The 14,218-nt window shown below is 38.9% G+C and overlaps 1 long non-coding RNA gene across 1 annotated transcript; it reads left to right on the forward strand.

The window, feature by feature from the left end:
• Window positions 1-633: 633 nt before the first annotated feature.
• On the forward strand, window positions 634-8,250 carry LOC107987084 (uncharacterized). The gene is made up of 3 exons (XR_001746764.2): window positions 634-781; window positions 906-1,035; window positions 8,162-8,250. It is a non-coding gene; the product is annotated as an uncharacterized LOC107987084 (long non-coding RNA).
• Window positions 8,251-14,218: the final 5,968 nt, after the last annotated feature.

Raw genomic sequence — 14,218 nt, forward strand, 5'->3', positions numbered from 1 at the left:
GTTTGCGGTGCCCCAAAAGAATACAATGGTAACATCAAAGATCACTGATCACAGTTCACCACAACACATTTAATAATAATGAAGAAGTCTGAAATATTGCAAAAATTACCAAAATGTGAAACAGAGATTTGAAGTGAGCACGTGCTGTTGGAAAAAAATGGTGCCAAAAGACTTGCTTAACACAGAATTGCCACAAACCTTCAATTTGCAAAAAATGCATTATCTGCAAAGTGCAATAGAGAGAAACACAATAAAATAAGATATTCCTGCGTATATATTATATATATTTTGTCAGTGATGCACCACATAAAAGGTAAAATTATGTAGCTATGTATATCTGGGCTTATTTTGTTTGTTACATTTTACTGGGAAATAAAACAGTGTCAAATCAATAGAATTAGGCTAAACATGGCAAAGGCAGGAGAAACCCATTTTGAGCTTCATGAAAGGTACTTGGTCACACAAGTGTAAAGTAAAGGAAAAAAAGGATATGAGCACACTCATGGCTATTAGAGGAATGAGGACCTGCTGGGAGTTTTAGAAATGCATGCAAAATGTAAGACTGAATCGATATGAGAAAGTATTTTGTATAAAGGTATGAAAAATTAATATTTTCCTATTGATATTCTTGACCAATTTTGTCTTCATAAACAGATTATCTGCGTTACAACAGTTCCCTCCATTGATCTCATGGTCCTTTTTGCCACCAAAGAGGTTTGACCCCCAGAGCAGAAGACAAGGGATGTCATATTGTATCTATAGGTTCATCAGCTAAGATATGGTACACATCCCCGGTGTGTGATGTTCCCCTTCCTGTGTCCGTGTGTTCTCATTGTTCAATTCCCTATTTGTATTTGCTCAATCTAGCACTTTACCGGCGTGAAAATGTGTTTGCACTATTACAGGAGTCCAAGCCAGCTTGAACAGGATCATCTGAGGGAGAGAAGATGAAGAAGAGACTGTCCAATATGGTAGTCACCAGTGTCATACGGCTATGGAGCCCTAGAACTGCGGCTGACGACATTGAGATGTGCTGTAAGTCAAATATACCCTATATGTAAAAGGCTTAGTATGAATTTTGAATATGAAATATTTCAAGTTTTTTACATTGAATGCATGTTGAATTAATATTTTAGAGGAATTGTGTTAAATAAAATCAGTTACTGAAATTGATTTTACCTACTTTTTAATTTTTTAATGTTTCTACTAAAATCTTTAAAATTACACGTGTGACTTATATTATATTATCAGTGGATAGTGCAGGATTAGAAAGAAAATGCTAGGGAAGGAAAGAGACCATGCAGAGTCTTGAAGATCATGGTAAAGGATTCTGGGTATTACTTGAGTGAGACACAAAGGCATTGAAGGGTTTAAGCAGAGGAATGACAGGACCTGCCTTATCGTTTAAAAGAATCACTAAGATTGCTCTCTTGAGTCCCCTCCAAAAAAACCCAAGTGAGATAATTTAAAGGCGAATGTTTCTTACTGGTGATGACTATTGTTACTATCTGCAGAATGTTTCTTACTGGTGATGACTGTTGTTACTATCTGCAGAAAAAGTTATTGTGTATTCCCTCGGCTTGTCTCCTCAGCTCCTGGCTAAGGTACTACATGGATTGCAATTTACAGGCACAACTGACTTATTGCCTGATCTAAAAATGGCTTCTCCGGGTTGTTAATTAAAAACTACTTTTGGAAAACTTACCATGTGCCGATACTATTCCACGTGCTAGGGATGAAGGAGCAGTAAAAGAAGGGGGAAAAGCAGCAGTGAAAATATGCCTCATGGGGGTTATACTTTAGTGGAGACAGCTTATGTTAACAAAACAAAAATGAACAAATATATATAGTATATTAGATTTAAAGTGGTATGGTCAAAATGAAATACAAGACTAAAACAAGGAGTATGTTGTCGTCTGTTCTTCCCTGCTACAGAGAACTACCTTAGACTGGGTAATTTATGAAGAACAGAGATTTAACTGACTCACAGTTCTGCAGGCTGTCCAGGAGGCATGGCTGGGGAGGCCTCAGGTAACTGGCAGGAGGTGAAGGAGAAGCAGGCATGGTCTTCACATGGCAAGAGCAAGAGAGAGAGAAAGGGGAAGTGATACACACTTTTTAACAACCAGATCTCCTGAGAACTCTATCACCAGAACAGCAAGGGGGAAGTCGGCCCCCATGACTCAATTACCTCCCACCAGGCCCTTCCTTCAACACCTGGGGATCACAATTCAACGTGAGATTTGGGTGGGGACACAGAGCCAAACAATATCAGAGTACCAGGGTGGAATGGGCTACTTCTGTTCTAAACGGAGTGATTAGCTGAAAGGCTTCACATGAGAGAGGTGTGAGCAACCTGTTTTCATGTGAATGTTTGTGCCCCTCATATTAATATGTTAAATCCTAAACCCCAATGTGATGATGCTAAGACGTAGAGCCTTTAGGTGTAATTAAATCATGAGGGAGAAAACCTCATGGATGGGATTAGTGCCTTTATAAAAGAGCCCCCAGGCCGGGCACGGTGGCTCACGCCTGTAATTCCAGCACTTTGGGAGGCCGAGGTGGGCGGATCACAAGGTCAGGAGTTCAAGACCAGCCTGACCAACATGGTGAAACCCCATCTCTACTAAAAATACAAAAATTAGCTAAGCGTGATGGCATGCACCTGTAATCCCCACTACTCAGGAGGCTGAGGCAGGAGAATCACTTGAACCCGTGAGGCAGAAGTTACAGTAAGCCAAGATCACACCACTGCACTCCAGCCTGGGTGACAGAGAGAGACTCCATCACAAAATAAAAAAAAATTAAAAAATTTAAAAAATTTTTAAAAAGGCCCCAGTGAGATCTCTTGCCCCTTCCACTATATGAGGTTGCCGTGAAAAGATGGCCATCTATGAGGAAGCAGGTCCTCACTAGACACCAAATCAGCCAGAGCCTTCATCTTGGACTTTTCAGCCTCCAAAACTGTGAGAGATTTCTGTTGTTTTTAAGACACCCTATCCATGGTATTTTGTTATACCAGCCTAAACAGACTAAGAAATGACCAAAGTGGATATAGGGGAGAGGGGAGAGGTCTGGTCATATAAATCAGCTAATGCAAAGGCTCTGAGACTGGATTGTGCTGGGTATGTTGAAGGAACAGTAAAGAAGTCGAGATGTCTAACTAGATGGAGTGAGCAGGTGGGACAGCAGGAAATAAAGTATGCCTTGACACAACTACCTACCTCAAGGCTCCTAAGATACAACTAGAGGAAATGATGTGGTTTTGTGGAATTTTGAGGTTCCTGGGAAAGCAAAAATGGATCTGGTTTTTACTCACAGGTAGGCTCCTAGTACCCTCATCACAGGGTTCTCCTGAAGCACATGCAAATTCTTTGGATTGAAGAGTTCATGTAAGTGGGTTCAATGTAATCAATGCAATGTTAAGCCAGATAGGTTCCAAATTAGAGTAACCCTCAGGAACTCCAGAACTCACCTAGCAGGAACTGCAACAGGGATGTTGAATGAACGTATCATTAGTGTCAATATCACAACTTGTAAATAAGTCTACCCTGAGCTTGTTTAGTCTTCTAGGGAGATGGGTGAGAAGAAATTTAGGCTAAAATTAAAGGTGTAGTTTCCCAGAGAAAGTTTCATATAAAAGAGGTAGAAAGAGCAACTGTGGTTTGTAAGGGAAGTGGATGGAAGACAAACAAGAAATTTCAAAAGATTTTATATTCATAAAAAAAACCAGGTTAATATATAAAAACTAATTAGAGAATTGAGAAATTAAACACGTCATTGTCAAAATATAACATTCATTAAATAGGCTGATTATCATAAGTTAGTAAATGGTGTGTTTTAAATGCTACTCAGTGATGAGAAAAAAATAAAGCAGGATAAGTAAAACCAGGAGTGCCAGGTGCAAAAGGGGAAGGGGCAGGAGAGGAGAGCTGGGCAAAGGCCCTGAGGCAGGAACAAGGTGGGGAGGCTGCAGTGGAAGGAGCTTTGCTCAAAACTTAAACACCTTCAGACAACCTCTGGCTCTGTTTCACAGTTAAAATGGCCAAAGAGAAGCAGAAGACCTCTGTGGGCCCCAGGGTCATCAGGGACCCTCTAATTGTGCATTTGTTTGCATCAGGAGGATGGAACAAGGAATAAGGATACATGACACAGAGGGAGAACTATTCGGAAGGAATGAAAGAATATTTGAAAAAACAGATATGAAAGTAAATCAGGTCTATGCATTCTGTCATTGTGCATGTTGGCCTGCTGACCCATCAATAATTATCCTTTAGTTATTCAGTAAGTGTTCTACTGTCTTGCTCTTGAGCAGGTCCCAAGCTAACCTTGAAGGACATATATGTTGGGTCTGCCACTGGAGAAAGTAAGACTCCACCAATGCAGAACTGAATTCAGCATTTCCCAGAGATGTTCTGGGGGTTGCTTGTCTCATTCAGTGTTTCGTGATAACATGATTGAAACATTTGGTATGTTAGGAAACCACTGCACACTCTATCCCTGTCTTGGTGATTCCTAAATAACTGGCACATTAAAGGCTTTGAGAAGCCCTCACATAAAAAGACTAGGGCTTTGTTTAATCCATCACTTCCCAAATTTACTTCAGTAAAAAAACATTTTATTTGTGTAACACATGTTCATATGTATCAGAATTAATGATCCATAGAATCTGCTGTGGGGGGAGCAGCCTTTGGGTCAGCTTCCTAGAACACTAACCCAGGCAGTGTGCAAGCATCCTTCCTCCCACCAAGTTTAGGGTCTTCATAAAGTGCTATCCCTGCCTGGCAGGATCTTGAACTAGAACTCATCCAAACACAGCATAACAGGGTGGCCTGTGATCCTCACCCACTTCTTACTCTTCTTTTTCTTAATAGGGAGAATTATCAGTGATGTCTCCATCAAACTCTCTCTCTTTTTCTTTCTCTCTCTCCTTCTCTCTCTCTTCAGCATTAAAAATTATCTATCCTCTTTTTCTCTTTTTACTGCTTAATTCTCCTTTATTAACTATTATGAAAAAGAAATAATAATGTAACTAAAATAATGTAGGTCATAACATCACCAAAGGGATAGAATACGGCAAAAGAAGCACATGAAATAAGTGCTATTGCAGTTGAGGTCACCGGTAACTGGCATTTCACAAAACACCAAGGCCTCACAGAAAATGTGAAGGGCTGGTAAAACTAAAATAAATGGAGGATATTAATGAACATCCTGGAAAACAAGGATGCCAACATTCTGAGCAAAGATGTATTAATATATAAATCATTTTTTTCCTCCTCTATTAGCAATGATTTTACCCTTATGGCTTTAAGTAACCAATTCAATATTTGAAATGCTTATATTTCCTAAACATATTTATACATGTCTATTCTATTAAAGTTTTCTTCTATATTAAATGTCAAAGAATAGTAGCATTCTCAAGTGGAGACATTTGCTTTAGCTAGGGTAATGACAAAACCTAGAGGGGAAAGTTGTCTCTTGCTTCTTCAGGCTTCTGAGGCAACAGAGGGACTGTTTTTATGTGCAAAACATAAAACCGTGAGCAAAAAATAGCAGAACTTAATATGGAATTTTGATATTTTGTGTCCTGCCACTAACTGGCCCATGACAGTGGCAGGCTCTTTTCATCTTTTTGGGTTTTTCTTTCCTCATCTGCAAAAGGAAGCAATAGTATCTAAACCAGGAGTCAGCAAACTGCAATCAGTGAGCCACATCCAGCCACTGACTATTTTTATAAATAAAGTTTTATTGGCACACAACCACACCCACTTGTTTATGTCTTGTCTACGGCTGGTTTTGTTCTATAATGGCAGAATTGAAGAGATATGAGTAGTTGTGACAGAGACTGTGTGGCCTGTAAAGCTTTAAATATTTACTGTGTGGCCCAGTACACAAAAGTTTGCTCAGTATGGTTTCTGCCAACTCTCACATCATATGATACAGAGTATTACCCTACAAGAGGCTTAATTGTTGTCATTGGAGTACAGGTGTTAAGAGTTGAGTAAATGGCCTCAGCAAACCACCCCAATTTAAATATTTCATGCACCCTTAGTTGATTGCTTTTGCCACCCACAGCATTTTGACAATGAACCACACACCAAATTGCTGCAACCAGTGCCAAGGAAACACAGTTTGAAAACAAAGCTTGCTTTCTGGTCCATGCCTTATGAAAATGTATGATGTGAATTGCTCTCAAATAAGGTGTGCGTTGTGCTGTGTCTCCGGCTTTGAATCCCAGAAACCACAACGTTCCTCAACTCAACCTCCTTCATAGAAGAGGGAGAGCTTGCCTTGCAAACCAGATGAACCAACTCTGACATTTTATTTATTTTTCTTTCTGGAAATGCTCACTCAAAGGGAAAAGTGTCCCCAAATTTTCTGCAGCTGCTGTCTGGATCATTTTTTAAAAATATACTCAAGGAAGCTGCCTGGGTGGCCATAGAGAATGATTGAATCAGCCTGAATTTCACATATTGAATGCTTTGAACAGGTCTCAGTGATCAGATTATCACAGGGTCCTGACCATGTCTAGTAACCCTTTCACAATTGACTCCCTACTATTGCCTAACATCTGCTACAATACCAAAGGGAATTTCCTGGATGATTCTCTCCCCCCTTAACATTTAATCCAATGCACTGAAAGACAAGCAACTATTCCAGGTTTAGCATCAGAGAAGAATTCATTTAGAAAAATGTCAAAAACATAAAAATTCAATCACCAAGTGATTATTAGACACTAAACCTCAAAGTCTCAAAGAGATTCTAAATTTCACAAGGGTGCAGTTTCTCATCTTTTATATGTTTTTAAGGGGAGGTGTGCATGTTCTGTCAAACAGTGGCATAACCAAGATACCAATTTTGAATAATTAATAATGGCACATAAAATACAAAAAATAACAACAGGTAAGAAAAGTCAATCATACTGGAAATTTGTAGCAGTTCAATAAAAAATGCTACTGGTGGATATTGAGACATGTTTATGAGTTCATTCCGACCAACAGCTGGCCCTGTTTATTCTCTTACATCATAGAAGACATTGGACACTGGGGACAAACCCTTACAGGGTTTGGGGTAGGACCATTTCTTCATATATATGTCACATTTCTATCTACTTTCTATGTTGAAATGTGATGCTGCAAGACAAATAAGCATTTTGGTAAGAAAACAGTTTGGAAAGTACTTGTTTGCTCCAAAATTCATGTTGAAACAATCTTGAATGCAATAGTAATAAGAAGTGGGGCCTTTATGAGGTGATTACGTCACAGGGGCTCCTCCCTCGTGAATGGGATAAATGCCCTTAAAAGGGAGGCTTCAAGCGGTATTCAGCCCTCTCTTTTGCCCTTCTGATCCTCCTGCCATGTGAAGATGCCTAGATGGCTCCATGTATAGGAAACAAGCTTTCATCAGACACCAAACTTGCAGGTGCCTTGATTTTGGACTTCCCAGCCTGTGGAACTTTGAGAAATAAATTTCTGTTGTTTATACATGACCCAGTCTCAGGTATTTTTATAATAGCAGCACAAACAAACTAAGACAGAAAGTTTGGGGTATTTAGCTGAACAGACTATGCTTCTTGCTCCCATGAGACTGAGCACTTTGTACACCTGTGCCCAGGAAGTGAATCCCTCCAATTCCTCTCTCGCAGAAGAAAAGAAGAAGAGAAGGAACAGGAGTGGGAATTTAAGAAAATAAATCACAAACCGCTTCAAATCTCTGCAAGCTCCACTTCCCACAGGAACATCCCCAGAATCTGAGGCTTTTCTTGTGTTGAGAAAGAGATGAGGGCAGGTCGTTGGGTTTCCCTGCAAGCATCCTTTTCCCACTTCCAGTGTAGGTACAGGGAAACTGACATTGACTAATGCAAATCAATATGCTTAAGTGGCATGAATACATTATTTCATATAATGCTTACAAAGCTGCAAAGTTGACATTATTATTTGATGATTATCCCTATTTCATAGGTGAGAAGATTTAGACTCAGACCAGGGAAACCGTCCACAGTAATATATTTAGCAATAGCAAACAAAAAAAAAATTGATTTGTTTAGTTCCAAAATTCTTGCCGGTCACATTACATCCCTCTATGAAGAGAAGTCCTCCTTTTCAGAGCCAAGCTTTCAAGCTCTCAAGATAAAACCATTACCACTCTCTTTTTTCCATAGAGAATGAGAGAACCCTCTGATGTGGAGTGAGCAGGACCTGAAATTACTTCCAGAACTATCCTTGGCACACACCACAAAGCCCCAAAGCTTTGACTTGTAAGTTTCTATAGTCTTGCTGGTCATGCCCTGGAATGACTCAGCAGGATCAAGACCAGTTACAAAATTTTACCACTTTTCTTTGTGCCCAGTCTAGAAAGATTTCTGAGAAGGGTTGTGATGTATCCCAAATGATATGCAGAAGTGTATGGGAGTGTAGGTGACTATGCTGCAGGTATGTTTTTTTGCCCAGTGTACACTTGTGAGGTCCTGGTCAACATAAAGAATAAAGACAGGTTGCCTCTTTGTTTTCACACTCGACTGTTCCCACTATGCTATGGCTAACTCTATGCTGCTCTCAAGGACACAGCTGTCTCTCCTCCATCATAATGTAAAGATAAAGCCCACATGGAACTCAGCAAGGCAGATACACCAAAGACAGGAAGAATCTGAAATTGTGAAAAGTTCAAATTTTATATGTAGAAGTATATATCTTACAATCCTATATAAAAGTTCATATATATATAGATAGATAGATAGATATAGATATACATAATTACTTGAAAGTATTGTACACCTGCATACACATATGTATTTGCATATATGTGCAGGCAAAGAAAGTACTGGAAAGTAGGCAGTTGAGATTTTCAAATGCTTTGAATGGCTATTTTAATGAAGAGCTAAGAATGATTTACAAAGTTTAGTTCTTCTAAAGTACTTGAAAGCAATTTCTTCTCAATGGTAGGTAAGGAATCCCTGTTTTTGATCTTGTTTCACTCACTTTTTTTTAGAAAACTTTAAATATAATATACATATAAATAAGATGATGCAGCATTTGTTTTTCTGTATCTGGCTTATTTCGCTTAGCATAATATCCTCTATGTCCACCCACTTTGTTGCAAATGACTGAATTTCCGTTCGTTTTAAGGCTGAATGGTATCCCATTGTGCATACAATGTTCACCAGAGGCTTGGGTAGGAGGAGGAAAGAAATAGATAGTTACTGGTCAAAGGATAAAAAATGTCAGAGAGACAGGAGGAATAAATTTGAGATCTATTGTACATCAGGATAACTATAGTCAAGAAAAAATAATGTACATAAAGGCATTTAGTCAAAAGTGGATTATCTAATTCCAGACTTGTGAGAACTTACAGAAATGAAGGCATATCTGAGAAAGTATTTGCAAATAACCACTACTTCACTATTCCAAAATTAATGTCCAAAAGGCCTCTCTGATTATCCAAATCCAGAGAAAATAAATTTTGAATACATAATACAAGGATATCCTTGTAAAAAGTGATGGCAGCTGCCCCTGCACAGAGAAATGGAGGGGCTTAGAGAGAGAATTACATATTTATATACTTTTGTGTCTGTTAAATTTTGAATCAGGTGTTTTCCCTATTCAAAAAAAATGGAAATTAACATCTTTTAAAATTACTATTCAGTGTTACTATTTTTACTTAATCTCTCTTTGACAAGCCATTTATCTTACATTTATTCTCCTCATGTATTTGCCATGACTTCCAAAATCTTCAAGAAATCTCATTGCTTCGTTTTTATCTCTGCACCATGTTCATTTCTCCTCACTCATATGTTGCACCAAAAATATTCTTCAGCACTTTTCATGTTTTTATGCTGCATGTCTACATTTGGATTATGGTTTTCCAGGGAGATTGCAAAGGGAGGTAATATGAGTGTTAGTTCTCATTGACAGCCTACGTTAGAATTTTAGCTCCTGCCTCTTACTAATTTTATATCCATGGTCACATAACTAAAAATCTCTAATACTCAGTTCCTTCATTTTGAAAAGAGGATAATAATAGTAATAATATCTTGTTGTGTTGTCAAAATATTAAATAGTACATGTAAAATACTTTGCCTAGTACTCTGTACACTGTATTCACTCAATAAATAATTATTTTTATGCCTTTGGGTGTAGTACACTCTGTAATTCTCACTTCAAATTCTTACATTTCAAGAAATCATGTTGTTAGTTTAAAAATTGGGTCTGACTGAAGCGAGTCATACAGGAGGCCAACACACATATTTAAAAAAAAAAAATCCCAGTATCACTGATCATTGAAGAAATGCAAATCAAAACCACAATGGGATACTATCTCACACTAGTCAGGACATCTATTATTAAAAAGTCAAAAAATAACCGATGCTGGCGAGGTTGTAGAGAAAAAGGAACACTTATAAATTGTGGGAGTGTAAATTACTTCAACCATTGTGGAAAGCATTGTGGCTATTCCTCAAAGTGCTAAAAACAGAACTACCATTTGACCCAGCAATCCTATTACTGGGTTTATACTCCCAAAATACAAATCATTCTACCATAAAGATGCATGCAGCACTATTCACAATAGCAAACGTGGAATCAAACTAAATGCCCATAAATGGCAGATTGGACAAAGTATATGCGGTACATATACACTATACACTACAGAATACAATGCGGCCTTTAAAATAACTAGATTATGTCCTTTGCAGGAACACAGATGGAGCTGTAGGCCATTATCTTTAGCAGCCTAACACAGAAACAGAACAGCAAATACTGCATGTTCTCACTGATAAGTGGGAGCTAAATGATAAGAACACATGGACACAAAGAGAGGAACAACAGACACTGGAGCCTACTTGAGGCTGGAGGGTGGGAGGAGGGAAAGGATCAGAAGAAGTAACTATTGGGTACTAGGCTTAGTACCTGGCTGATGAAGTAATCTGTACAACAAACCCCCATGATATGAATTTACTTATATAACAAACCTGCACATGTAGCCCTGAACCTAAAATAATTTTTTAAAATAAAAATTAAAAAGTCATATATAGGCCAGGCATGGTGGCTCATGCCTGTAATCCCAGCACTTTGGGAGGCCGAGGCGGGAGGATCACGAGGTCAGTTTGAGACCATTCTGGCTAACACGGTGAAACCCCGTCTCTACTAAAAATACAAAAAAGTAGCCAGGCGTGGTGGTGGGCACCTGTAGTCCCAGCTACTCGGGAGGCTGAGGCAGGAGAATGGCGTGAACCAGGGAGGCAGAGCTTGTAGTGAGTGAGCCGAGATCACGTCACTGCACTACGGCCTGGGTGACAGAGTGAGACTCCATCTCAAAAAAAAAAAGGTCGTATACAGACAGTGATGGGAATTGGAAAACATGGGCAAATGATAGTTGTCATCTAGAGATTACATTTCTTCTATTAATTCCCCCACAACAAAACAAAAAGGGAAACATGTAAAAACCAGATAAGAATATCCCCTTCTGCCTTGTTTTTTCTTGAGTTGCTTTCTTGATATGTTGCCAACCAGAGTATGGAATCTAGGTTCTGTCAGTTAGGCACTGTGTTCACCCTGAGTTTTCCTCCACGGTCTTTTGGTTTTGATCTTTGTTTCTCAGTGCTCCCAATTATTTAGAAATAATTCCCAGCCATAACCCAGCCTCCATCATTAGCCATTTGCCTGTCTGGCAAGACCTGCTCCAAAGAGGAAGTGAGTGGAAATGCTTTCATGGTTTGAGTCAGTAAACTTTTACTGAATGTCCAACACATGCTGAGTGGTATTCTCCAGCAGCATGGGGTGCACGCCTACATCCTAGACATAAAAGAAATAATAGATCTGGCTCCATTCCACTGTAGTCTTATATAAAGTCAAAATGAAATACAGAAAAGCAAACTTCATAATATACGTGGATGAACTTTGTCTTGTGCAACATTGGGTTGACATATACAAACTGGGCCAGGCTCTTGCTTTCTCCTCTTTCTCCTGTTTCTCAGCAAATGCTTGACCCATCATTTCTGATTGAAATATGTTTTTCTGGCAGGAAGATCATCTGGCACACATATTTTGACCAATTCTCAAATAAAATAAATGGGTTTGCCTCAACCTCATGTGTGGAACAGACCGTGGGTGGTCATTCTGAATTTGGACTCCAGGGCAGGAAACACCCAGCTTGTGCTTTTCAAAGTGCTAAGCAGTCAATTAACTAATTACACTCAGATATATTCTTTTAATCTCCATGGCAGGACAATTCAGCACTGCTAGATCCAAACTGTATTGCACCCAGATCTGGGAACGTGTGAAATGGCCATACATAAGAACATACATAAGGAACAAAAGAGAATTTTAAAATATATGGGCAATGAAGCATAATTGTGCCTCTTGTACCAGTCACAGATCCTGACCCTTATATCCGCATTCACTTCATAGACTCGCTAGTGATCTTGAATGCAGTCAAGAAAAAGCAAACATTTTACATCCCCTGATAGAAAGCAAAGGAACATCTTGTTCTGCTTGCTGAAACTTGGCTGTTATACCCAACAGTAAAATGTTCACAGGCGGACTGTGTAGGAAGAACACCTGAATTCTGGGGAAATGCATCATTCATCACTTTTTTGCTTTAAATACTCAGAAATATTTTTTCTATCATCTTGTGCCTTTTTATAGGCTGTTAATGATGGGAGAACCTGATTAAATGCAGGCAGGCTTTCACATTTAGAATGGATAAGAGAAAGGGAACGAATGCTAAACATGTGTCATGCACTACCAGCCAGGGCCCAGCTTTTTATTATGTTTTATAAACTTTCAGATTGACATTGAGTTGGAAGAGCATTCACATTTACATAAACGTGCCTTATTTTGCACACAATTGCTACCAATAATAAACAGTGAATGGTTGAACTAATTCCTTTACTCCTTGTGGAAAAGATTAACTTTCCTGCCATTTGTTTAATATTTGCTGGAAATTGGGAATTCCAAAGGTCATGAAGTACAATTTCCCAAATATTCAAAGCCCAGATGTCTATTAAAGAATGCAGAAGCCTTATAGATCAGGACATCTTCTTCCATGGGAGATGCTTTGGGAGTGTCAGGTTTGACGTTGTTTTAGCTATTCACATGGCCACAGAGTTCCCAAACGAGCACCAAGATGCCTGCAGCAGCCAACTCACAGAAGCACTGGAGGATATTTTCAATTTTGATATTTCAATTTCTTTGATATTTTCAAGGAAATTGAATTGAATTCAATTCAATTCAATTCAAACCCAGCAACAGCTGTCTAACACCACACAAACTAGTACTATTAAGTTGTTTGGACCTCACTATTAAAAACAATAATAATAACAGAATGGTCAGGCATTTCTTATGGGTTAGAAGTGCCATGAGAAAAACTACTGAGACATTAGGGTGTCAGGAAATCAGAAAGTTTGGGAACCTCTAACCTCTCATTTATATGAAGCCTAAATTCAAGAACATGAGCTTATATATGGTGTCTAACACATTCTATATGCCAGAAAGCATATTATGGGGAGTAGAGGAACCTTAATTTATATAACACTAATGAAAAAATATCACAGAATAGGGTCTCAGCTCTCTCTTGTTCTCTATGCTGATTGCTATTTCCAACATCCTAAGGATTCCCCTTGAAAGAATGACCAAACAGTTCTTGGCAGGGAGGAGCCATGGAATCTGGACTTTGTGTTGTTTGCTGTTTAACAGAGGGGGATTTGAAAATAGAAGTGAGATCACATCTGTTGCTCTCATTTCATCTTTTTTCTGTAATGCAATTCTTGAGGAGCTTGTGCAGTGCCTTTGAAACAACTTGCTCTAACAAGAATTGCGCGAGGCCGTGGATGCCAATAGTGTAACAAGGAAAATGTTCAGTGCAGCCCTCCAGAAGAGTTGAGGAGACTGGCAAGAACTATCAAGCTCTAGAGGGAAATGATCTGTTTAAGAAGCAAGGAATTTGGGGATTAGGAAACTTGTGGAAGTATGTATAATTATAGGGTATAATATGTAGATCTAGAATATCAGGACTCATGGCTAAAATAGAAAAGACTTTGGCCACAATCCTTTATGGATAGCTGATTGAATTGGGACACTAGGATGTAAACATTGTCAGTTTGTCAAGGAAGCGTAGGTAGGGGAAAAATACCTGTGGGCAGGGGCAAACATAATCTTCATGTGCCCATCGTGGAGTCTGTTGAAGGATTAACCTGCCTCTTTTGCCTTACAAGGGCGACTTA

This window comes from Homo sapiens, chromosome 9 (assembly GCF_000001405.40).
Source record: "Homo sapiens chromosome 9, GRCh38.p14 Primary Assembly".
Lineage (NCBI taxonomy): Eukaryota > Metazoa > Chordata > Mammalia > Primates > Hominidae > Homo > Homo sapiens.